Here is a 24602-nt window from a genome sequence, read left to right as displayed (position 1 = left end):
AAGAGAAAAGACCACCACCAACACAAAAAATGAGATGATTTGGAATGATATGACAAGGATTATAAACAGCAATCACAAAAATCCTTCAGCAAGTAATCATGACTATACTTGAAAAAAAGAAAGTCTCAACAAAGAAGGGCAAGATATGAAAAAGAATCAAAAGGAAATTATAGAACTGAAAAATACAATAACCAAAATAAAAACACTGGTTGAGTGTAACAGCAGAATAAATATGACAGATGAAATAATGAGTTTGCTTGAAGATAGAACAAAAGAAATTATTCAATTTAAACAACAGAAAGAAAATAGATTTTAAAAAACAACAAACAGAGCTCCAGGGACCTGTGGTATAATATTTTAGAAATCTAATATTTACATTGTCAGAATGTCAGAAAATGAAGAAAAAGCGTGTTGGTCTGAAAAAATGTATAAGAAAGTAGTGGCTGAAAATTTCCCAAATATGGTGAAAGGCATAACCCTAAGAGATTCAAGAAGCTGACTAAAACTCAGAGTAAACCCAGATAAATCTGCACTAAGACACATTGTAAGCAAACTTCTGAAAAGTAAAGACAAGTAAAAAATCTTGAAAGAAGCTAAAGAGAAATAACATTTTACCTGTTGGAGAACATCAATTCAATTGCCTGTGGATTTTTTATCTGAAACCAGAGAGGACAGAAAAGAGTAGCACAATATTTTTCAAGTGATTGAGAGAAAAGAAGTGTCAACCACAAATTTTATATCCAGTAAAAATATCCTTCCAAATTGAAGGGGAAATAGATTCTCAGGTGAAGAAAAACTGAGAGAATCCATCTCTCAACAGGCTCACTCTTAAAAAATGACTTTGGGAAGTTGTCTAAGGAACTTAAGAAGGGAAAGAAGAATGGATAAACGTAGGAGTAAATATAACAGATATTACTTCTCTTCTTGACTTTCTTAAATCTTATTTGATAGTTAAAGCAAAAATCATAGCACTATCTGAGGTGGTATTCAATGTATATACAGGAAGTAGCTAAGACAATTTTATCTTAAAAGTGGGGAGCATAAGGGGACCCAAATGGAAGTAAGTTTTCTAAACTTCACTCAAAGCGGTAAAACCTCAATACTAATAGACTTTAATAAGTTAGTTGATATAGTATCTGAAGCAGCCACTAATAAAAATAAAAAAGTCATAAGCTAAAAAACATTTTTAAGTAAATAAAAATGGAACTCAAAAAATGTTTATGGCAAAAAGAAAGAAACAGGAATTAGAAACAGATATAACAAACAGAAAACAAGAAAATGGCAGACTTAAGCTATATCAATAATTACTTTAAATATTTGAAGTAAAATAATGAAAAAACAAAGATTGGCAGAAGGATTTTTAAAAACCTCACCACCTAACGATATGCTTTTTATAAGAAACTCACTTGCACCAGCCTGACCAACATGGTGAAACCCCATCCCTACTAAAAATACAAAAATTAACTGGGTGTGGTAGCAGGTGCCTGTAATCCCAGCTACTCGGGAGGCTGAGGCAGGAGAATCGCTTGAACTCGGGAGGTGGAGGTTACAGTGAGCCAAGATTGTGCCATTGCACTCCAGCCTGGGCAACAGAGCAAGACTCTGTCTCAAAAAAAAAAAAAAAAAGAAAGAAATCACTTGCAACATAACGACAGAGGTTAACAATAAAAAGATGGGAAAAGATATATCATGCAAATATTAATTTTAAAAAGAAGAGGCTATATTAATATCAGGTAAAGTCAACTTTAGAACAAAGGAAATTACTAAAGACAAATATGTATATCACATAACGATAAGAAGATCAGTCCAGGCTGGGTGTGGTGGCTCATGCCTGTAATCCCAGCACCGGGAGGCTGAGGAGGGAGGAATGCTTTACCAGGGTAGGCAACATGGCAAAACCCCGTTTCTAAAAAAAAAAAAAAAAAAAAAAAAAATTAGCCAGGCATGGTGGCACATGCCTATAGTCCCAGCTACTTGGGTGGCTGAGGTGGAAGGATCTTTTGAGCTCAGGAGGTTGAGACTGCAGTGAATCATGATCGTGCGACTGCACTCGACAGAGCTAGACCCTGTCTAAAAATAAAAAATAAATTTTGTTAAAAATCAGTCCAATAAATTTGATTTCTACCCTTTGCTATCTTTAATACCAAGCAACATAACCACTTTGAGGCTCAGCTTCTCCATCACTAAAATAGACACCATAGAATAGTTAGTAAAATATTATGATGATTAAATACTTAGTACAGGTTAGCACATGGGAAAGGTTCAAAGTGATAGCTGTCATTATCATCATAAGGAGTGTTTATTTCATCCTCACTATTTAAATAATGTACATCAGTCAGGAAAATAGAAACAACACCAGCCTTGTGTTGGGGGACGGGGCTGAGGGGTAAAAGTCGTCATCACATAAAATTTGCTATTTTCTGGCTGGGCGTGGTGGCTCATGCCTGTAATCCAAGCTCCTTGGGAGGCCAAGATGGGCAGATCACCTGAGGTCAGGAGTTTGAGACCAGTCTGGCCAATGTGGTGAAACCCAGTCTCGACTAAAGATAAAAAAATTAGCCAGGCGTGGTGGCACATGCCTGTAATCCCAGCTACTTGGGAGGCTGAGGCAGGAGAATCGCTTGAACCCGGGAGGCGGAGGTTGACATGACCAGAGATTGCTCCATTGCACTCCAGCCTGGGCGACAGAGTGAGACTCCATCTCAAAAAAAAAAAAAAAGAAAAAAAAAAAAAATTTACTATTTTCACCATTTTTAACTACAATTTGGTGGCATTAAGTACATTCACATTATTGTGCACCCATCACCATTATTCATCGCTATAGCTTTTTCATCTTCCCAAACTGAAGCTCGATACTCATTAAACATATCAGTTATTTTAACACAGAGAATTTAATATAAATATGTTTTAAAATCTAGTTATTGGAACACTGAAAAGAGGCAAAAGGGAACTTTAAGATACTGCAGAGGCAAGAATTACAGATGGACTCAGCTAACACCTCCAGGGCTAGGACGACAAAGGGAAGAGGTTGAGGTTAGGAGAATTTGGGAGCTTGGAGGAGGGGTCCTATGGAGGTAAGACCCAGACCCTCGAGGAAACAAAGCTAAGCAGCTGAGGCTGGCGTCTCTGAAGGGTGGGGGTGGAGGGGTGCAGCATGGATGGGGGAAGAGATTCTGGAAAGTGGAACCAGCTGCTTCTGACAAGGTGAAACCCATTGATGCTGGGATGCTGATGGGAGGGGAAGGAGCTCGGCTCTCCTGCCTTCTCCTGCGTTGCCCTCTAGCGCCCCCTATTTGTGTAACCAAACAGGGAGCAGCTGGCAATGGTGAAGTGGGGTTGCCCAGCCCCACTGGAGCATCACTATGCAAAGAACAGAAGGACAGTGTATGAGGGCCCGGGGACTGCCGTAACAAAATACCATGACCTGGGTGACTCACAGCAACAGAAACGTATTCCCCCACATTCTAGAGGCCAGAAGTCCAAAGTCAATGTGTCAGCTCCCTCTGAGTGCTCTAGGGGAGAATCCTTCCTGCCTCTTCCAGCTCCTGGTGGCTCCAGGCTGTCCTTGTCTTGCGGCTGCAGTGCTCCAATCTCTGTCTCCATCCTCTTGTGGCCTGTCCCCTCCCTGTGCATCTCTTCTTCTTTTAAGGACTCCAGTATTCCCCAATACTGAATTGGGGCCCATTCTAATTCCCACTGCAGATGGTTCTGGAGCTGAGAGACAAGAGCTTTATAACCAGCACAGGCATTGTTCTGAAACTCAGGTGATAGGGCCCACATCTACTTACACAAGGCACGCAGGACTTTCAGTGCCTCTGTTTCCCCGTCTGTAAAATAGGGGATTGGATTAGCAAACAAGTGAAGATCAACTATGTGCAAAGGCTCCAGGCCACATGTGCCAAATATGAGAGAGCAAGGCCCAGTTCCTGCTCTCCAGGTGCTTCGGGTGAACAATGGCAGCTCCGAGTGAGCAGTGCAGGTGACCTCAAGGGAAGGGAGCTTGGGGAAGGTCCACGCCATGTGGGCATTGCAGGATGCCTGGGTGAAAACCCCTGTTTGTTTGACCTAGTGGAGGACAAGAGCCACCCAGCTGGGTGTGGATGGATGTGTGGATTTATAGGATCGCCATGCCTTTCCCGAAGCTTTTTGATGGAATTGAGGGATCCCAGACGGGGCACAGAACTCACACGCACAGTGCTTGAAGTGGTTTTCAAAGGACAGGCTGCAGCTTCCATATTCATCTGACTGAGAGTAATGTAAACTGCCTCCCTCACTAGAGCTACAGTTTATTTGTACAGTTTGGGCCATTTCTGTAAACATTTGACCCATTTCGAAATCCAATCCAAAAGGAAAGCAAATGAGGGCTTTTATATTGTGCAATGGAATTCACGATCGACGGCGGTAACATTTTACCTATTGCAATGTATTGAATGCTGCATTCAAGAAGTAAGATAAAGGAATTTTTAAACATCTCAAAACTCAGGGAGAAAAAAAATGCATGTATTCATGAAGAGTAAAGAGGTATGAGACTAAACGTCCCCCACAGGTGGGGGAATGGGGTTCTCTTTACCATCACGGCCCCACGAAGACAGCACAGGGCTCAGTAAATCTTGGATGGATGGGAAACCCCAGCGACAGAGTCAGGAACCTTCATTGGAGTCAGAGTAAGGGGCACCCAGATGAGCAGGTCTCCAGATGAGAAACACAGCTCTGCTTCATTTCAAAACACGGATGAATCCTTTCTAGTTGTGCCTCCTGCTTTTCTTGTCCACTAAATCATGCTGTCACTATGCCAGGGACCTTGTTAAGGAAAAGCAATGCAATTTTCAAATGAAATAAGTAATTGCTACCAACTTATGTTTTTTAAGAAATATATAGATTTTTTATAAAGCGGGACTTGCTACAGCTAATATAGGGAGAGAGAGAAAAGGAGAGGGAGGAAGATAGAGGAGGGAGAGAGAGCAGGGGAGGGAGGGAGCAGTCACACTGTAAGCATATGCATAACAGATTACTGGTTTTGAAATTATTATTGTGTTGTTACAATATGGAGGGATTGGCGATACATTGCAAAGAGCAGAAAATTATAAGTGGAGAAAAATGAACACATCAGCTAGTTCTTAAGAATTCAGGAGGCCGGGCGCGGTGGCTCACGCCTGTAATCCCAGCACTTTGGGAGGCCGAGGCGGGCGGATCACGAGGTCAGGAGATCGAGACCATTCTGGCTAACACGGTGAAACCCCGTCTCTACTAAAAATACAAAAAATTAGCCGGGCGTGGTAGCGGGCGCCTGTAGTCCCAGCTACTCGGGAGGCTGAGGCAGGAGAATGGCGTGAACCCGGGAGGCGGAGCTTGCAGTGAGCCGAGATCACGCCACTGCACTCCAGCCTGGGCGACAGAGCGAGACTCCGTCTCAAAAAAAAAAAAAAAAAGAATTCAGGAGTGATCTTCTAAATCCTTAACCTCTGATGCGGATGGCTTGGACACTGGGCACTCTACTGGTTGCTGACCAGTTGGGCAGACTGTGTCCATGATGCCAGTGCTGTGCTTGCCAGGCAGGTCCCTCTTCTGCTTAGTGTAAGGTGTTACAAAGCATCATGAGCCACTGCACTGGCAGCTTTGAGCTTGGCCTATTGAGAACCCCTGAGAATTCTGTTAAAAATTGCAGACTCTGGGGTCCTTTCCCCAGAGTTTGCGATTCTCTGGGGCTAGGGCAGGGCTCATGAATCTCCACATTTACCAAGGCCCCAGATGCTGCCCTGGACCATAGAGACAGGGCAGGACCTCATGGGAACAGAGACACTACCAGGATTGCTCCCTGCACAGTACCTGGAACACACTTCTAGAAACACAGTACATATCTGTAAAATGACTCAAGACTTCTGAGAAGTGAATGTGAAGTTTGTTCTCAGTTGGGCTCCCAATAGGAAGGAGATGAACCACTCAATTAGGAGAATTCTGGGAGGATGAGTTTGCCGAGAGACTTACCATACAGGTGGAGATGGGTATAAGGGAGGCCTGAGGGGTGAAGCAAGAAACCGGGGCCAGTAGCATTGTAGCTGTTACCACTCCTAGGTCCTGGGGTCAAGGGAAGAGAGGGGAGCAGGACTCAGAAGGAGAGAAAATCGTGGAGAAGTGGCCACCATGAGAGAAGTGGTGGACTTTGGTTGAGGAACATGGCAGCCTGAGATGATCTCCCAAGGAGGACCTCCCAGGAGGGAGAAGAGTAAATATTCCCAATGGCAGCCTCCCTGTCCCACCTCCCATAGATCGTCTGTGCTCCCCAGTGGCTGAGCTCAACTGGAAGCAGAGGGGAGAGGACCCAGAGGATTGCTCCCTGACCCCAGGGCAGAGAGAGGGTGGAAAATGGAGGGATGGCCCGGGAGGGTCATGGAAGGTCACATCCTGTATGTCTTCCTAAGTCCACATTGCATCTACCCTGTGATGCTCATCGCCACTGCTACCATCGCCCTCATCACCATTGCCACCATTGGTCTCAACGCTTCATTGCTTTGTGTCTGATTTATTGTCATAACTTCTAGCCTGGTCTCCTGCCACAGCCTCACTCCCTTTCCAGTTCACCTTCCAGAGGCCAAGAGACCAAGATTTCTAACACCCACACCCAGGCATGGCACCGTCCCTTTTCATGCTGCTGATAACGACATACCAGAGACTGGGTCATTCATAAAGAAAAAGAGGTTTAATGGACTCACCGTTCCATGTGGCTGGGGAGGCCTCACAATCATGGTGGAAGGTGAAAGGCACGTCTTACATAGCAGCAGGCAAGAGAGAATGAGAGCCAAGCGGAAGGGGAAACCCCTTGTAAAGTCATCAGATCTCGTGAGATTTATTTACTACCATGAGAACAGTATGGGGGGGAAACCGCCCTCCTGATTCAATTATCTCCCACCAGGTCCCTCGTGTAACACTTGGGAATTACGGGAGCTACAATTTAAGATGAGATTTGGGTGGGGACACAGCCAAACCATATCAGGCACCAACCTTCAAAAGCCCTCCGGGGCTCCCCTCAACTCCCGACTGGCCCTTTCAGCCTCCTGCCAACTGTGTGGACATCACCCTGGGAAATGGAATTTCCATGAGACTCCTGGCGGTTTCCCACCTTTGCACACATGATCCTTCTGGCTGGACCCCCATCCCTGGTCTTGAAGGGTTCCTATGCTTCCTTGAGGATTCTGCCCCGGTATCACCTCCTCCAGAAGTGTCTCTTGACCTCTTCATCTGCATCAGCCCCCTTCCTCTGAGCGCCCACAGGGTCTCATGGCCGATGATCTCACATAAATGAAGTTTGTGCAGTGTAGTGGCCGTGTATTGGCTTGTGTGTTGGTTTGGACGTGGACATTCACAGTAGGGGCATAAAGGGAGGTTCCTCTTTTCTAAATGCCAGAGAGAAATGAAACCCGGTCAAATTCATCACATCTGCAGTCCCAGGTCCTTCGAATGTGTCATTAGGGTTATTATCACTGATAATAAACATGCCTCGTGTCTACTAGGAGACAGGCCTGGTGCACACTGACTCACTTGGGGGCCCAGGTGGGCACCTTGCAGGGGGCATTGGCCAGGCCCAGGTCTACTCACAAGGACTGTTTAATCAGTTACCTAGATGGTGTCAGTAAATGCATTGTCCTTCAGCTGGGTCCCCCTCTGCCCAACCCCAGAGCCCTTAACCCTGGGACACACAGTGACCTGGGTGGCTGCCAGGGGCCCCCATCAGCTGGATGGTGGCTGGAGATGGGGGAGGGGAGGCTATTGAGTGTCCTCAGCCTCAGGATCTGTATCCCAGACCCCTACACGGGCAGTGGGACATCCAGATCGGGTTTGGACTGCGTCCTGATTTGGAGCACAGTGAAGTCTATTCTTCTCAGGCTGCAAACCAGCCCATTCCGGGGCATTCACATTTCAGCTGGGTTTGCGGTCACATGCACGTTGTTCAATTTCACCGAAATCAGCAGCACTCGGGGTGTCGATCTCAGCCCTGTGGGTTCAGTGACCATCAGTGCCAATTACATGAAATGCCAGTTGCCACGCAATTCTACCTTCGCACAGGCCAGCCAAAGAAAAAAATGTGTTCCTAAAGTTAATTAAAACCAAACCAAGACCACATGGCTCCTTTTGGGGGAACTGACCCCGGCTCCTTTCCCATCTCCATTTCCCTCTCGTGGTGTTGAAGCTGATCCCACCCAGGGCTCATTTTGATTTTTGCACAATTCACCTTTGTTGGGATCTAGGCTCAATTTGTTTGAGTAGTTGGTTGAACCAACAGCCCACTTGGATATTTGCATTTAATAGGCAAATGGGATCATATATCTGCTGGACGAAGTGTCTCTACTGTGGGGATTTTCACCTTTGCAGAGGCACGTGTAAGTTCCAGGATTATGAAGTATCAAGTTATATTAACCAGGACAAAGGGAGGAGGGAGGATGGAGGGACACAGACCGTGGGATATTGGGTTACTTTCGAGGCCAGTTGATTTCTACAGCCTGTCTGAGCTTCCTGCATGTCTGTGGAGATAAAATTGATTGTGAATCAATTGGCCAGAAGTTTCTCCTGTGAGATTCTGAGCTTGGCTCATTCCCTGGTGTACCTTTGATTTTCTGTTGAGCAAAGCCTTGGTTAACAGAACAATAATTAGTCATTAAGAGCACACCATGCATTTCGGAAACGTCCCTGATGGTTGATAGAGTTTAATCTTACCATTCTGGGCTATAATTTTTTAAAATGTTTTCAAAGTAGCTTTTTAAAATTTTATTGATTTATTTTTAAGCAGCTTTATTGAGATATAAATTCAGATACCGTGCAAGTCACTCATTTAAAGCATGACATTTAATGATCTGCGGTGTGTCACATTATTCACTTTCTAAGAACTGTGGTAAAATATGTATAACGTAAAACTTAATATGGTAACCATTTTAGGTGTACCTAAATGGTGGTGTTAATTGCCTTCACAATATTATGCAACCATCACCACCATCTATCCCTAAAGCTTTTACCTCACCCCAAATAGACATGTTTCTACCATTTAGCCTCCCCACAGAGTGTGAGAATATCCAGGTGAAAAATGAAGCGATACTGTCAAGTTTCCTAAAGGAGTTACCTCCCAAGTGGCTCATGGGTTCCTGGAAGCTTCCGGGTCTTGAGCTTGAGCTCCGTGAGGAAGGGAATGTGGCGCGGTGCTGCCAAGATCTGCAACGGTGCTTGGCACATGTAGGTGTACAGTGCATACGAGTGAGATTTGTTGTCGGGAATATCTTAAAATTGGAGTGGCTGTGTTGGAACAGCCGTGGTTAGGTGTGAAGGGTGCCCGCTCCCTCCCAAGGGGCTCTGTGGCAGGACAGGAGCCTGTGGGGGATTGTCAGCCATGGAGGCATTGGGTCTCTGTGGCACTATGGGGGGCTGATGGGAACTGGGTCCATCTCGTGTGTTCTGGGAACTCCCAGGGCTTTGAGCCAGCTGCCCCCTACCTGCTTTCCCCATCTCAGGCAACAGTCATGTGGCTTACATCTGCCACGACACTTGATATTTTTCTAAGATGTCTTCCAAAATAAGTAGAAAGAGAGGTTATTGCCCCATTTCACAGATGAACTAACTGTGGTCCCCAGGCAATCTCAGGGCGAGATACCCCTGGGAGCCAAGAAGAGGAGCCTGCCTTTTCTCCTTTGATCAATCATCAAGGTTACAAATAGTCACCCAGATGTCACGAAAGCCCTCACCTGTGGCCTGCTTGGAATCAGCATGTTTCCAGACGGTGTGGCGGTTTTACCTGAAACATGGCTGCTTACCCTGTGACTCTTCTCCCTTCTAAAGGTGGTTGCTGGTCTCCTTCCCTGTGGACATTGACTTGCTCCGGTGCATACAATGAGGTAGAAATGAGCCAGTGTGGTTTCCAGGATGGAGTATAAATGTGATGCAGCTCCTGCCTCGCCCTGTCTGTCTTAGGTGCCCACCGTTAGAGCCCAGTCACCATGTACAGGAACCAGGCCACACAAGAGGCCACACGTCCTCTGGCCACAGCCCCTGCTGTGGTCCCGGCCACGCTTGTGTGTCAGTGCACAGCTGTATGGGGGACCCAGCCCCAGCCTTTGAGCCTGCCCAGTAGATGCCATCAGTGGAGGAACAAGTAAAGGAAACATCAGTGTTGTAAGCCAGCAAGCTTTGGGCTTCTTTGCTGTGCAGGGGTGGAACCTAGGAGTGATGATATCACCCCTTGTGATGTGTGAGTTCCAGGTTCCTCCTGGGGCTCCCTTCAACTTCCCTTCAAACCCTCTCTGCCTGGCTTCTATCTGTCTGTCCTCCTCCTGGTACTTTATGGATTTAACGAAGAAAAGTTAATCATCATTTGCCACATATAGGACAAAACTTTAACCCTCGTGTATTAAATGGGGGATGATAATGTGCTGCTTCTGGGAGGAAATTAAACTTACACAGCAGAAGCGTCCACTGTTCAGCATACCCATGGACACCACCATGGTAGACAGACCCGTAGGCGGACCCAGGACCCCACACCCTGGTGTGCACACCCTGTGGGAACCCCTTCCCTGAGAGCAGCCAGGGCCTGTGACTGCTTCTGATCCATAGGGTCTGGCAAAGGTGACAGACGTGTCTGGTTCCATACACGTGGTTATGGGGTGGCGCTGCCTAAGGCTGTGGCCCTCAGTCGGCTGGAATCCACCCACCATGCTGGCTGTGAAGAAGCTGGGCACACTGCTGAGCCCTGTATGGTGGGGAACTGTAGTTGACCTCTAGTTGTGGAAGGCAGCCTCCAGCTGATGGCTAACAAATGAAACAAAATGAAATGAAGCACTCCAAAACTGTAGCTTTCAGTCCAACAGCCCTACAGACCTGAAGTCTTGCAAAAGCCTGAGCAAGCAAGAAACTGGATGTTTCCCCACTCAGGCGTTCAGATGAGACCAGCCCCAGCCAATATGTTAATCAAAGCCCTGCAGAGGCCGCAACTGAGCTGGGCCCAGATGCCTGACTGTTTTTGCCAGCTGCTATGTGTATTGAAATGTGTCATGCAGCAGAGACCACCTTAATCCACATCGTCACCATGCCATGTCCAGCAGCTGTACAGGTCTCCTCTCTAGCCTCCTGTCCTCCACCCACCTGCAGCCCCCTCAGCCTTTTCTCAACCCTTCATTGTGGTGACCCTGTAAAAATGTAGGTCAGTCTGTGGCTCTGGCAGTGACAAGATAATTGTCATCAAGCTCATGGTTCACCGTCTACCTCCACCTGCCCCTCTGGCCATGTCTCCTGCTTCTCCCCATCCCTCCCAATAATGACAACTCCAGCCATGTGGGCCTTCTGTCTATTCCCCAAGCTCATCAAGCTCACTTGTACTTGGCACTAGCCATTCCCTCTTTCTGGAATGTTCTTCCCCCAAATCTCCACATGGCCGGCTCCTACTTGGCTGGGATGGCCCCTGTAGCCCACCCCTCCCCACGTACTCCCCTCCCCATCTCCTTTCATTTTCATCTCAGCTCCCACCACGACCTGGCATGCCTGGCTTTTTTTGTTTATTTTCTGGCCCCCACCCCAGTTATACTGTGTGCTTCCTGAGTTAGGAACTCTGTGCTATTTGTACCTGCAGCCCTGAGGATTAGGACACTCCTTGGCATGTGGTAGGAGCTCAGCTAGTATTTGCGGACTGTTCTGAAGTCCCCAGTGAGCCAGTGGTGGATAAAGTTATTGCCCGTCACCCCCATGACGTCTCTGCTCCCGTGCCAGCTGCCTTCCTCACAGCCGCCTTCCTTCCCCAGTGGGGAACACAATTCCATGGGCGGATGCTTGGGGCATTTTTATTTTAACAAAGAAACCAATGCAATGACTGTCTCTGTGGGGAGTTTTGGCTCTCCAGAGGCCGGGTAAGGGAGCGATTTATTTTGCGGCTGGTCTGTAAACCTCTCACCAGAGAGTACCTCTGAAGCTCCAGGGTGGCCAGCTCCACTCCAGGACAGGGGCCATTCATAAGTCTGTGGCTCCGACAGTGACAAGATAATGGTCTCCAAGCTCGTGGTTCTGGCTCCTCCTGTTTTCTTCCAGCCTGGCTGCCCGGAGCCTCTGGGTGATGGAGAGAGGCACATCTCTCAGGGCTGGTGCCAGCCACTGGACGGAAAGCTGCCTGCCAGGCAGCAGAATCAGAACATATGTTAAGTGGCTTTCAAGGACAGTGGGCAGGGCAGCAGCCTAGTTATTCGGCAATGTGCGTCAGGTCCAGATGGGCGATGGTGCCCTTACAGTTTTCGAGAAAGATGAGAATCCTGAAACACCAGGCACTCGCCTGCCATCCCCAGCCCAGCAGGCAGTGGCTGCGGAAAGCTGGTTCTGTGGGGCTCACACTCTCAGCCAGGTGCCCTCTGAGCCCGTGCCTCCTCAGGAACCTGGGGCTCCCCAGGGCCTGGGAAAGTGGGGAAGCCGCTGACTCAGCTCACTGTTCAGCAGGGGATGGTCTGCATGTGCCTCACAAAAGCTGAGCACAAAACTCACTGTGAGGAACTTTACACGAGAGATGCAGCTGTCAGGGCCTTGCCCGTGCTTCAGTGTGTTCTCTGCGCTCCTCACTGGGCCTGGGGATAAGTTTGCGCCCCTAGAAGCAGAGGCTACATCTAGTAATAACAATAGAATAATAATAATAATACAAACACTGATATTTGTGCATTTTACATCTTAACCCCCACAGCCTGCCCTATTCAGATGCACGCAGGTGCCCACAGTCCACCTGCCAAGGCAGTGCCCTCGGTGCCTGCATGAGAATCAGTGGCCCACTCCTCCCCTTGAGGAGCTGAGCTTGGAAATTAGAGAGAGAGAGGGGCATGGGCCGAACAATTGCACAAATATCAGGCCTCACCGTAAGGCAAGCACTGGGAGGGAAAGTCCTGCCCCTGGCATGTGACTTTCAAGCTCATTTTGTGGATGAGGGGTCTGAGGCCCAGGCAAATGATCCTGGGCGGGGAGAGCAGACAAGGGGGGACGTGTGGATGCCAAATCCAGGGATTCCTGAATGGATTCCCAACACTTGTTCTCAGGATGGGTCCCACAAAGGGCTCAGTGAAGGGTGGTTGGAAGGACAGTGAGCTGCTGAGTTCCACACTGTCATTGGGATTGAAACCGCACATGGATTGGAAGGACTTCTCTTCCCCATGTGATTATCCCAAGGGACTCCCGCTGCCCATGTGGTAGGTGCTCGGTGAGGATGGCATATCCCCAACACTGTGCCAGGCAGGCTTGTGGGATGTGATGGGGCTCTGGGCCGCAGGGGCCTGGAGACTGGGGTTGTAAAGAGAGGCATCATCCAGGAAAGCACTGGAGAAGTGAAGCAGCATTTGAAACCCGTGTCAGGTCTATTGCTTGGGCCGAGATGGAAGCAGTTCCCACGACGAAGAGGGGAGAGTGTGCCTGGAGGCCACCTCCACGCTGGTGCGGCCAGGCACCCTACTGGTCTCCTGCCAGCACGTCTCTCTCCTGCACACACGTGTGTAGGCAGCTAAGGCTCAGCAACAGCAGACCTCCTTCTGTTCAGGGGTTGGGGGCAAGGGTGGTCGGACTCACCCCCTCATCACATGGGAGCGCCAAGGGTGGTTTGCTGACAGTGCAAGGTACAGGAAAGTGTGTGAGAGCATGGGTGAGTGTGAGAGCGTGTGAGGGTGTCTGAATGTGTGAGTGTGTCAGAGTGTGGGTGAGTGTGAGAGCATGTGAGAGTGTGTGGGAGTGTGTGTCAGAGTGTGAGTGAGTCTGAGCATGGGGGGGTTTCTGAATGTGTGTGTGTGTCAGAGCATGGGTGTGAGAGCCTGTGAGGATGTTTGTGTGTGTCTGTGTGAGCATGGGTGAGTGTGAGACCGTCTGAGGGTGTCTGAGTGTGAGTGTGAGTGTGTGTGTGGATGTCAGAACATCGGTGAGTGAGCATGAGGTGTGTGTGTGTCAGAGCATGGGTGAGTGTGAGAGCCTGTGAGGGTGTTTGAGTGTGTCTATGTAAGTGTAGGGGTGAGCAGGGGTGAGTGTGGGAGCACGTGAGGGTGTCTGAGTGTGCGTGCAAGAGCATGAACTTGTGTGAAAGTATGGGTGAGTGTGCACAAGTGTGTGTGAGTGTGTGTGTGTGATAAAAGAGGTTAAATACAGATTTGCCCAATGCACTCCCGTGCCCTGGGACCGCTCCCTTCTGGACATGCCATCAGCCAGGGAATTTCTGGAATACCAAGAACAATGTCAGGACACTTCCAGAAGGAAGCTCCTTCCTGTCAGAGGGAAGAAAACAGCCCCGCAACTGGGAGGGGATCTGGCTGCAGAAATACAATTCTGTGCCTCACCCTGGCTCCCGGAGCACAGCGGTTCCCAGTCACTCCACAAGAAAAATAGGGCTGTGCCGCCGGTGACCTGTGATGAGGACAATATCAGTTCTCCTTTTACATTCAGAGAGATCATACAACTCCTTAAATATCATAAATATCTTTTCTGTTTCCTATTTTTTTCTCTTCTCATTGTCACAATGAGTTCCAGGGAGTGGGCTAGACGGGGGAAATTATCCTCATATTTTGATGCAGAATTTAAAATGACTTGTCCATGCCACAGTCAGTGGAAATGACAGAGTTGGGTAAGATCCCAGGGGTTTGCTATTCTACCTAGTATCTCCCCTGAGGCACAGCAACGGGAATGAGACGGAATTTCCTATTAAAAGTATGAGGTGCATATCAATGGGTCATGCAGCTCTGGAAAATAATTATCTCCTTCTGCTTCTTAACTCTTTTCACATCCTTTCCATGTGACCAGTGTCGTTGCCACTTTTACTTGTTGCTTCATTGTATTAGTTCTGTCCTTGTTTATTCCAAATATTTGCATCCTTGTTTGAGGTGGAAGTTTGGGAAAATGCTTTGTGATGAATATTCCCCCCCGCCTCTCAGCTACCTTCCATCGCGACTATTTGGGAGAAATCTAGGCAGCTCGGCCATTTGGATGGCCCATCTGTGGGTCCCCAAAACCAAGACGCATGGGGTCTTCCCTCTGCCTTCAGAGGCTTGAGGTCTTGTGGAAGAGGCAGCTGTATGGGAGAACCGGCTGGCGATTTATTTATTGCCATCCTTGGGGTTTTACTGGGGTCTCCATAAAATCTGCTTGTTGAGTCAGAAAGGTTTATAGTCTGGGATGTGTTTGGGGATTTTTAGATTCTGCATGTTTAGTTTGTCATTTTGAGAAAAGCCACAAGTTTTGTTTTGTTTCGTTTTGTTTTAAACAAAGGAATTTCAGGATTGGTGGAGAAGCTAAAGAGAAGCCTGCATCCTATAAAAGGGAAGAAAACATTCTCTGGGGCATTTTCAAGGACATAGAGGCTACAAAGATTCGGGACAATTCATCTGGTACTTTTTTTCAATCCTTAGTTACAAATTTTTAAATCTCTGTCTCTCTTTCTGTGTGTCACACACACACAGATGAAATAGCTAAATGAGATTTTTTTAAAAAAAGCTTCAGGGGAAAATAAAAGTCATTGCCACAAAGTTTCCAAAGAATTCATAGTTCTCATACTTAGACACAATTAAACTGTGCTTGCCAAGGTAAGAAGCAAATATTTGTATTTCTACAGAATGGCACATATGTCTTATAAAGGCATGCCTTGTTTCTTTCATAAAGAATGTAAATTTTAAAACAAATATTTTTGCCTCAGTTCAATTTCTCTTAAAAGATTTAGAAAGAAATCAAAGATGTCTTTTTGACATGAATAATATGCAATCATCAATTTCTCTCCAGCAGACATTTGGGGGTGTGTGCGTGTGTGTGTGTATTACAAGCAAGCATTCTAATATTGCACAAAATAATTTACTCTCTTTGCCTACTTTGTTGCAAATTCTGAAGGTACCTAGGAGTCATGTAGAAAAGCCCATCTTGTTTCTTTCAAACCTCTCTTAAATATTCCTTCTGCATGAACTTTGCCTTCAATTATTTCAATTATTTTCATGCAAATGTCACTCAAGAAATATTTACATATTTATGTGTATAAAATGTACGAAGTCATCTTAGGTACCCAGTTTTTGCAGTAGATCACACTGACAGTAATATGCATTGCTAGGTTTACTGTGAATTCAGACAGAACACAAACTGTGTTACAGTAGTTTCCATAGGAGCTCAAACTTAGACACAATATAAACCAAACTAAATTAAAAGAATTTTTATAATAGCTAAAATCTAATAACTAATTTTAATAGGGTTTATAGATCCTCATTCAGGGTCTTAGGAATAAAACATCCTTTATTTTGGCAATGAAGTAATTGGTTCATTAAATAAAAACTACAAAATATGCAGCTCCCTTCGCGTTGACAAAACGTGAGAGGGGCATTAATTGATCACAAAGAACACGTTCACTCCCCAACAGCAGCAAACATTTCAAACAACCCCCAGGATAAATTACAGCAGGCTGTCTTCCGGTGAGGACAGCTGTCCCCAGGCCTGGGGACGGATTGACCATCCCAAGCCGCATCCACTTAACTGCTGGAAAGGAAAATCTCCTTCCAGCACCTTCCTGAGAGAAGGGAAGAGAGAGCTGGATTCGTCTCTGCCCAGTGACTCGGCTGCTTTCACAGGGGAAACGCTGCTTCCCTCCACGTCCGGTGAGGCCAGCACTTTCAATGGCAAGGGGGAAATTCAGTGGACTCTGGTTGTTTCAATGTCAGAATTTTTAAAATCCACCTAAGGCAGAAAATGTATCTCGCAGGTGGCTTATTTTTTATGCCTTAAATCTAGACTTCAGGTGTCATAGATGCAATCCGAAATCTGTCTGCATTTTGTCAAGAAATACTTTTAGTTTTTATTTTTTTATTATTATTTATTTTTGTTTGTTCTTTTTTTTTTTTATACTTTAAGTTTTAGGGTACATGTGCACATTGTGCAGGTTAGTTACATATGTATACATGTGCCATGCTGGTGTGCTGCACCCACTAACTTGTCATCTAGCATTAGGTATATCTCCCAATGCTATCCCTCCCCCCTCCCCCCACCCCACAACAGTCCCCAGAGTGTGATGTTCCCCTTCCTGTGTCCATGTGATCTCATTGTTCACTTCCCACCTATGAGTGAGAATATGCGGTGTTTGGTTTTTTGTTCTTGTGATAGTTTACTGAGAATGATGATTTCCAATTTCATCCATGTCCCTACAAAGGACATGAACTCATCATTTTTTATGGCTGCATAGTATTCCATGGTGTATATGTGCCACATTTTCTTAATCCAGTCTATCATTGTTGGACACTTGGGTTGGTTCCAAGTCTTTGCTATTGTAAATAGTGCCGCAATAAACATACGTGTGCATGTGTCTTTATAGCAGCATGATTTATAGTCCTTTGGGTATATACCCAGTAATGGGATGGCTGGGTCAAATGGTATTTCTAGTTCTAGATCCCTGAGGAATCGCCACACTGACTTCCACAATGGTTGAACTAGTTTACAGTCCCACCAACAGTGTAAAAGTGTTCCTATTTCTCCACATCCTCTCCAGCACCTGTTGTTTCCTGACTTTTTAATGATTGCCATTCTAACTGGTGTGAGATGGTATCTCATTGTGGTTTTGATTTGCATTTCTCTGATGGCCAGTGATGGTGAGCATTTTTTCATGTGTTTTTTGGCTGCATAAATGTCTTCTTTTGAGAAGTGTCTGTTCATGTCCTTTGCCCAATTTTTGATGGGGTTGTTTGCTTTTTTCTTGTAAATTTGTTGGAGTTCATTGTAGATTCTGGATATTAGCCCTTTGTCAGATGAGTAAGTTGCGAAAATTTTCTCCCATTTTGTAGGTTGCCTGTTCACTCTGATGGTAGTTTCTTTTGCTGTGCAGAAGCTCTTTAGTTTAATTAGATCCCATTTGTCAATTCTGGCTTTTGTTGCCATTGCTTTTGGTGTTTTAGACATGAAGTCCTTGCCCATGCCTATGTCCTGAATGGTAATGCCTAGGTTTTCTTCTAGGGTTTTTATGGTTTTAGGTCTAACATTTAAGTCTTTAATCCATCTTGAATTGATTTTTGTATAAGGTGGAAGGAAGGGATCCAGTTTCAGCTTTCTACATATGGCTAGCCAGTTTTCCCAGCACCATTTATTAAATAGGGAATCCTTTCCCCATTTCTTGTTTTTCTCAGGTTTGTCAAAGATCAGATAGTTGTAGATATGTGGCGTTATTTCTGAGGGCTCTGTTCTGTTCCATTATCTCTGTTTTGGTACCAGTACCATGCTGTTTTGGTTACTGTAGCCTTGTAGTATAGTTTGAAGTCAGGTAGTGTGATGCCTCCAGCTTTGTTCTTTTGGCTTAGGATTGACTTGGCGATGCGGGCTCTTTTTTGGTTCCATATGAACTTTAAAGTAGTTTTTTCCAGTTCTGTGAAGAAAGGCATTGGTAGCTTGATGGGGATGGCATTGAATCTGTAAATTACCTTGGGCAGTATGGCCATTTTCACGATATTGATTCTTCCTACCCGTGAGCATGGAATGTTCTTCCATTTGTCTGTATCCTCTTTTATTTCCTTGAGCAGTGGTTTGTAGTTCTTCTTGAAGAGGTCCTTCACATCCCTTGTAAGTTGGATTCCTAGGTATTTTATTCTCTTTGAAGCAATTGTGAATGGGAGTTCACTCATGATTTGGCTCTCTGTTTGTCTGTTGTTGGTGTATAAGAGTGCTTGTGATTTTTGCACATTGATTTTGTATCCTGAGACTTTGCTGAAGTTGCTTATCAGCTTAAGGAGATTTTGGGCTGAGACAGTGGGGTTTTCTAGATATACAATCATGTCATCTGCAAACAGGGACAATTTGACTTCCTCTTTTCCTAATTGAATACCCTTTATTTCCTTCTCCTGCCTAATTGCCCTGGCCAGAACTTCCAACACTATGTTGAATAGGAGTGGTGAGAGAGGGCATCCCTGTCTTGTGCCAGTTTTCAAAGGGAATGCTTCCAGGTTTTGCCCATTCAGTATGATATTGGCTGTGGGTTTGTCATAGATAGCTCTTATTATTTTGAAATATGTCCCATCAATACCTGATTTATTGAGAGTTTTTAGCATGAAGGGTTGTTGAATTTTGTCAAAGGCCTTTTCTGCATCTATTGAGATAATCATGTGGTTTTTGTCTTTGGCTCTGTTTATATGCTGGATTACATTTATTGATTTGCGTATATTGAACCAGCCTTGCATCCCAGGGATGAAGCCCACTTGATCATGGTGGATAAGCTTTTTGATGTGCTGCCGGATTCGTTTTGCCAGGATTTTATTGAGGATTTTTGTATCAATGTTCATCAAGGATATTGGTCTAAAATTCTCTTTTTTTGGTTGTGTCTCTGCCCGGCTTTGGTATCAGAATGATGCTGGCCTCATAACATGAGTTAGGGAGGATTCCCTCTTTTTCTATTGATTGGAATAGTTTCAGAAGGAATGGTACCAGTTCCTCCTTGTACCTCTGGTAGAATTCGGCTGTGAATCCATCTGGTCGTGGACTCTTTTTGGTTGGTAAGCTATTGATTATTGCCACAATTTGAGATCCTGTTATTGGTCTATTCAGAGATTCAACTTCTTCCTGGTTTAGTCTTGGGAGAGTGTATGTGTCAAGGAATTTATCCGTTTCTTCTAGATTTTCTAGTTTATTTGCGTAGAGGTGTTTGTAGTATTCCCTGATGGTAGTTTGTATTTCTGTGGGATCGGTGGTGATATCCCCTTTATCATTTTTTATTGCCTTTATTAGATTCTTCTCTCTTTTTTTCTTTATTAGTCTTGCTAGCGGTCTATCAATTTTGTTGATCCTTTCAAAAAACCAGCTCCTGGATTCATTAATTTTTTGAAGGGTTTTTTGTGTCTCTATTTCCTTCAGTTCTGCTCTGATTTTAGTTATTTCTTGCCTTCTGCTAGCTTTTGAATGTGTTTGCTCTTGCTTTTCTAGTTCTTTTAATTGTGATGTTAGGGTGTCAATTTTGGATCTTTCCTGCTTTCTCTTGTGGGCATTTAGTGCTATAAATTTCCCTCTACACACTGCTTTGAATGTGTCCCAGAGATTCTGGTATGTTGTGTCTTTGTTCTCGTTGGTTTCAAAGAACATCTTTATTTCTGCCTTCATTTCGTTATGTACCCAGTAGTCATTCAGGAGCAGGTTGTTGAGTTTCCATGTAGTTGAGTGGTTTTGAGTGAGATTCTTAATCCTGAGTTCTAGTTTGATTGCACTGTGGTCTGAGAGATAGTTTGTTATAATTTCTGTTTTTTACATTTGCTGAGGAGAGCTTTACTTCCAAGTATGTGGTCAATTTTGGAATAGGTGTGGTGTGGTGCTGAAAAAAATGTATATTCTGTTGATTTGGGGTGGAGAGTTCTGTAGATGTCTATTAGGTCCGCTTGGTGCAGAGCTGAGTTCAATTCCTGGGTATCCTTGTTGACTTTCTGTCTCATTGATCTGTCTAATGTTGACAGTGGGGTGTTAAAGTCTCCCATTATTACTGTGTGGGAGTCTAAGTCTCTTTGTAGGTCACTCAGGACTTGCTTTAGGAATCTGGGTGCTCCTGTGTTGGGTGCATATATATTTAGGATAGTTAGCTCTTCTTGTTGAATTGATCCCTTTACCATTATGTAATGGCCTTCTTTGTCTCTTTTGATCTTTGTTGGTTTAAAGTCTGTTTTATCAGAGACTAGGATTGCAACCCCTTTTTTTGTTTTCCATTTACTTGGTAGATCTTCCTCCATCCTTTTATTTTGAGCCTATGTGTGTCTCTGCACGTGAGATGGGTTTCTTGAATACAGCACACTGATGGGTCTTGACTCTTTATCCAATTTGCCAGTCTGTGTCTTTTAATTGGAGCATTTAGTCCATTTACATTTAAAGTTAATAGTGTTATGTGTGAATTTGATCCTGTCATTATGATGTTAGCTGGTGATTTTGCTCGTTAGTTGCAGTTTCTTCCTAGTCTCGATGGTCTTTACATTTTGGCATGATTTTGCAGCGGCTGGTACTGGTTGTTCCTTTCCATGTTTAGCGCTTTCTTCAGGAGCTCTTTTAGGGCAGGCCTGGTGGTGACAAAATCTCTCAGCATTTGCTTGTCTGTAAAGTATTTTATTTCTCCTTCACTTATGAAGCTTAGTTTGGCTGGATATGAAATTCTGGGTTGAAAATTCTTTTCTTTAAGAATGTTGAATATTGGCCCCCACTCTCTTCTGGCTTGTAGGGTTTCTGCCGAGAGATCCGCTGTTAGTCTGATGGGCTTCCCTTTGAGGGTAACCCGACCTTTCTCTCTGGCTGCCCTTAACATTTTTTCCTTCATTTCAACTTTGCTGAATCTGACAATTACGTGTCTTGGAGTTGCTCTTCTCGAGGAGTATCTTTGTGGCGTTCTCTGTATTTCCTGAATCTGAACGTTGGCCTGCCTTGCTAGATTGGGGAAGTTCTCCTGGATAATATCCTGCAGAGTGTTTTCCAACTTGGTTCCATTCTCCCCATCACTTTCAGGTACAGCAATCAGACGTAGATTTGGTCTTTTCACATAGTCCCATATTTCTTGGAGGCTTTGCTCATTTCTTTTGATTGTTTTTTCTCTAGACTTCCCTTCTCGCTTCATTTCATTCATTTCATCTTCCATTGCTGATACCCTTTCTTCCAGTTGATCGCATCGGCTCCTGAGGCTTCTGCATTCTTCACGTAGTTCTGGAGCCTTGGTTTTCAGCTCCATCAGCTCCTTTAAGCACTTCTCTGTATTGGTTATTCTAGTTATACATTCTTCTAAATTTTTTTCAAAGTTTTCAACTTCTTTGCCTTTGGTTTGAATGTCCTCCCGTAGCTCAGAGTAATTTGATCGTCTGAAGCCTTCTTCTCTCAGCTCGTCAAAGTCATTCCCCATCCAGCTTTGTTCCATTGCTGGTGAGGAGCTGCCTTCCTTTGGAGGAGGAGAGGTGCTCTGATTTTTAGAGTTTGCAGTTTTTCTGTTCTGTTTTTTCCCCATCTTTGTGGTTTTATCTACTTTTGGTCTTTGATGATGGTGATGTACAGATGGGTTTTTGGTGTGGATGTCCTTTCTGTTTGTTAGTTTTCCTTCTAACAGACAGGACCCTCAGCTGCAGGTCTGTTGGAGTACCCTGCCGTGTGAGGTGTCAGTGTGCCCCTGCTGGAGGGTGCCTCCCAGTTAGGCTGCTCGGGGGTCAGGGGTCAGGGACCCACTTGAGGAGGCAGTCTGCCAGTTCTCAGATCTCCAGCTGTGTACTGGGAGAACCACTGCTCTGTTCAAAGCTGTCAGACAGGGACATTTAAGTCTGCAGAGGTTACTGCTGTCTTTTTGTTTGTCTGTGCCCTGCCCCCAGAGGTGGAGCCTACAGAGGCAGGCAGGCCTCCTTGAGCTGTGGTGGGCTCCACCCAGTTCGAGCTTCCCGGCTGCTTTGTTTACCTAAGCAAGCCTGGGCAATGGGGGGCGCCCCTCCCCCAGCCTGGCTGCTGCCTTGCAGTTTGATCTCAGACTGCTGTGCTAGCAATCAGCGAGACTCCGTGGGGTAGGACCCTCCGAGCCAGGTTCGGGATATAATCTAGTGGTGCACCGTTTTTTAAGCCCGTCGGAAAAGCGCAGTATTCGGGTGGGAGTGACCCGATTTTCCAGGTGCCGTCCGTCTCCCCTTTCTTTGATTAAGAAAGGGAACTCCCTGACCCCTTGCGCTTCCCAAGCGAGGCAATGCCTCTCCATGCTTCGGCTCGTGCATGGTGCGCGCACCCACTGACCTGCGCCCACTGTCTGGCACTCCCTAGTGAGATGAACCCGGTACCTCAGATGGAAATGCAGAAATCACCCGTCTTCTGCGTCGCTCAGGCTGGGAGCTGTAGACCGGAGCTGTTCCTATTCGGCCATCTTGGCTCCTTCCTTGTTTTGTTTTCTTTTCTTTTCTTTGTGGTGAAAACACTTGAGATCTGTCCTCTTAGCAAATTTCAAGAATACAATACAATTGTTACCTAGAGTCACATTGCTGGACATTAGATCTCCAGAAATTATTCCTCTTGCATAACTGAAACTGTAACATCCTCCCATTCCCCATCCCCAGCCTCCGGCAACTGCCATTCTACTCTCTGCTTCTGTGAGTTCCACTTCTTAGACAGCTCCTCGGGTCCACATACAGTTTTGAGTCCACATACGTCTCTGAATAGGGAAGAGCAGTGTATTCTTGGAGTTAAGCTCCAGGTAGGCGCAACAGAGAGGGACAGTAACTGTATTAGGTCCTAAAGTGCAGAATAAGGGTCTTGTTTAGGGGTTGGGCATGACAGAGACCCTCTGGTTTGAACCAGGAATATTTTTTCTATCATCTGGTTGGGGTTGGGGAAGAGACAGTCCCAATGCCTGGGAGCCAAGAGGGAGCGGTGAGGGGCTGGAGCTCACGGACTGGGGCCCTCCCGCTGTCTCAGAGCAGCTGTGGCCAGGTACCCAATCTTCAGGCGGCTGGGCCTGCTGCTTCCCTCTTGCCCCACCTCCCCCCAGATGTGGGTGGCCTGGGGGGGAATCTTCACACCAGGCCACCCAAGGAGAGGGCTGCTCCTCCTGTGTGAGCCATTTTCTGTTCTTAATGGACACAAGGCTGGCAGGGATCATTTGTAAGGTCGAGTTCCGATGAAATTCCCAAGCGGGGACAGGTATGGACCACCACGGTCTCCATTACGCTTCCACTGGCTCCTGGGAGCTCTGGGCGAGGGCAGCCCGTGCCCAGCAACATGGGATTCACTCAACCCTGATAACCCAGTTATTACAGCCGGGAAGTACATGGGGTAAAAGCTAAACCCCATAAGTTGCCTTAGAACCGTTAGGGACCACCACCCAGGGCCTCAACGAAATCAAATTGCCAAGGAGGCCTGGCAGGCTCAGTTAAACCAACGGCCTCCCACACAAAAGTTTATGGGATCAAAATCGGCACAGGATCACCCGTCAGGGTCTACCCGGCATAGCCTCAGAAGAAGGGAGTGGGACGGGGGAAGATTCCTGGACTCCTTCTGGGTTCACCCAGCCCCTCCTCCTCTGACGCTCCCATGAGGACCATGGTTCCTGGGTCAGCCCTTCACCAGAGCCCTTCACCAGCAACCCCTGCCTGCGTGTGTGTGTCATGGGGCTGCAGGATGAGAGTGACTGAGAAAAATGCCTTCAAGGTAGGAGAAAACGCAAGAGCTGGAAGGTTGTTTGATTTTTTAAAAATATGCATAATGCCTTCGCCCACCAGCACAGCTAAAATTAAACGCTGGCAAGGATGTGAGCAGCTGCTTGTGGGAGTGTGAATTTCCCTTCTGGAAAAAGATTTGGCGGCATCTTCTCATGCCGGACATCATGCCTGCTGGATGACCCGGCAATTCCGCTCCCAGTGACACACACAACAGGAAGGCCAGCACATGTGCACCAGGCATGTGCAAGCATGCTTTTGTCACACAGCCCCCAGCTGGGCCTCCCCGCTGCCCCAGCAAGAGGATAGACATATGAGGATCAGTTTGTTGACGCAGCAGGATACTATAAAGCAGTGAAGATGAACCAATGCCAAAAATACCACAGCTCTCCCATGCTGCGGACATGGGAGAGATGCCCTGCCTGATCCCAGCACATCACGTGCCAACCAGGCTCTCAGAAGCCAGGAAAGCAATTGCTC

General features: G+C 46.1%; 1 long non-coding RNA gene across 1 annotated transcript in view, besides 1 other annotated feature; it reads left to right on the top strand.

Annotated features, from left to right (window-relative positions):
* Nucleotides 1–24602, top strand: part of LINC01081 (long intergenic non-protein coding RNA 1081) — a 60668-nt gene that overhangs the window by 30105 nt on the left and 5961 nt on the right. The gene's annotated exons all lie outside the window — the stretch shown is intronic.
* Nucleotides 22019–22518: an enhancer, noted in NCBI's record as "NANOG-H3K4me1 hESC enhancer chr16:86267231-86267730 (GRCh37/hg19 assembly coordinates)". NCBI's record gives its function as "activates a minimal SCP1, AML or CMV promoter by ChIP-STARR-seq in naive H9 embryonic stem cells {active_cell/tissue: H9 hESC(naive)}" and the evidence as "EXISTENCE:reporter gene assay evidence [ECO:0000049][PMID:30033119]".

This window comes from Homo sapiens, chromosome 16 (assembly GCF_000001405.40).
Source record: "Homo sapiens chromosome 16, GRCh38.p14 Primary Assembly".
Taxonomy (NCBI): domain Eukaryota; kingdom Metazoa; phylum Chordata; class Mammalia; order Primates; family Hominidae; genus Homo; species Homo sapiens.
The sequence above is the reverse complement of the archived record's forward strand: the minus strand, read 5'-3'. Positions and strand labels throughout refer to the sequence as shown.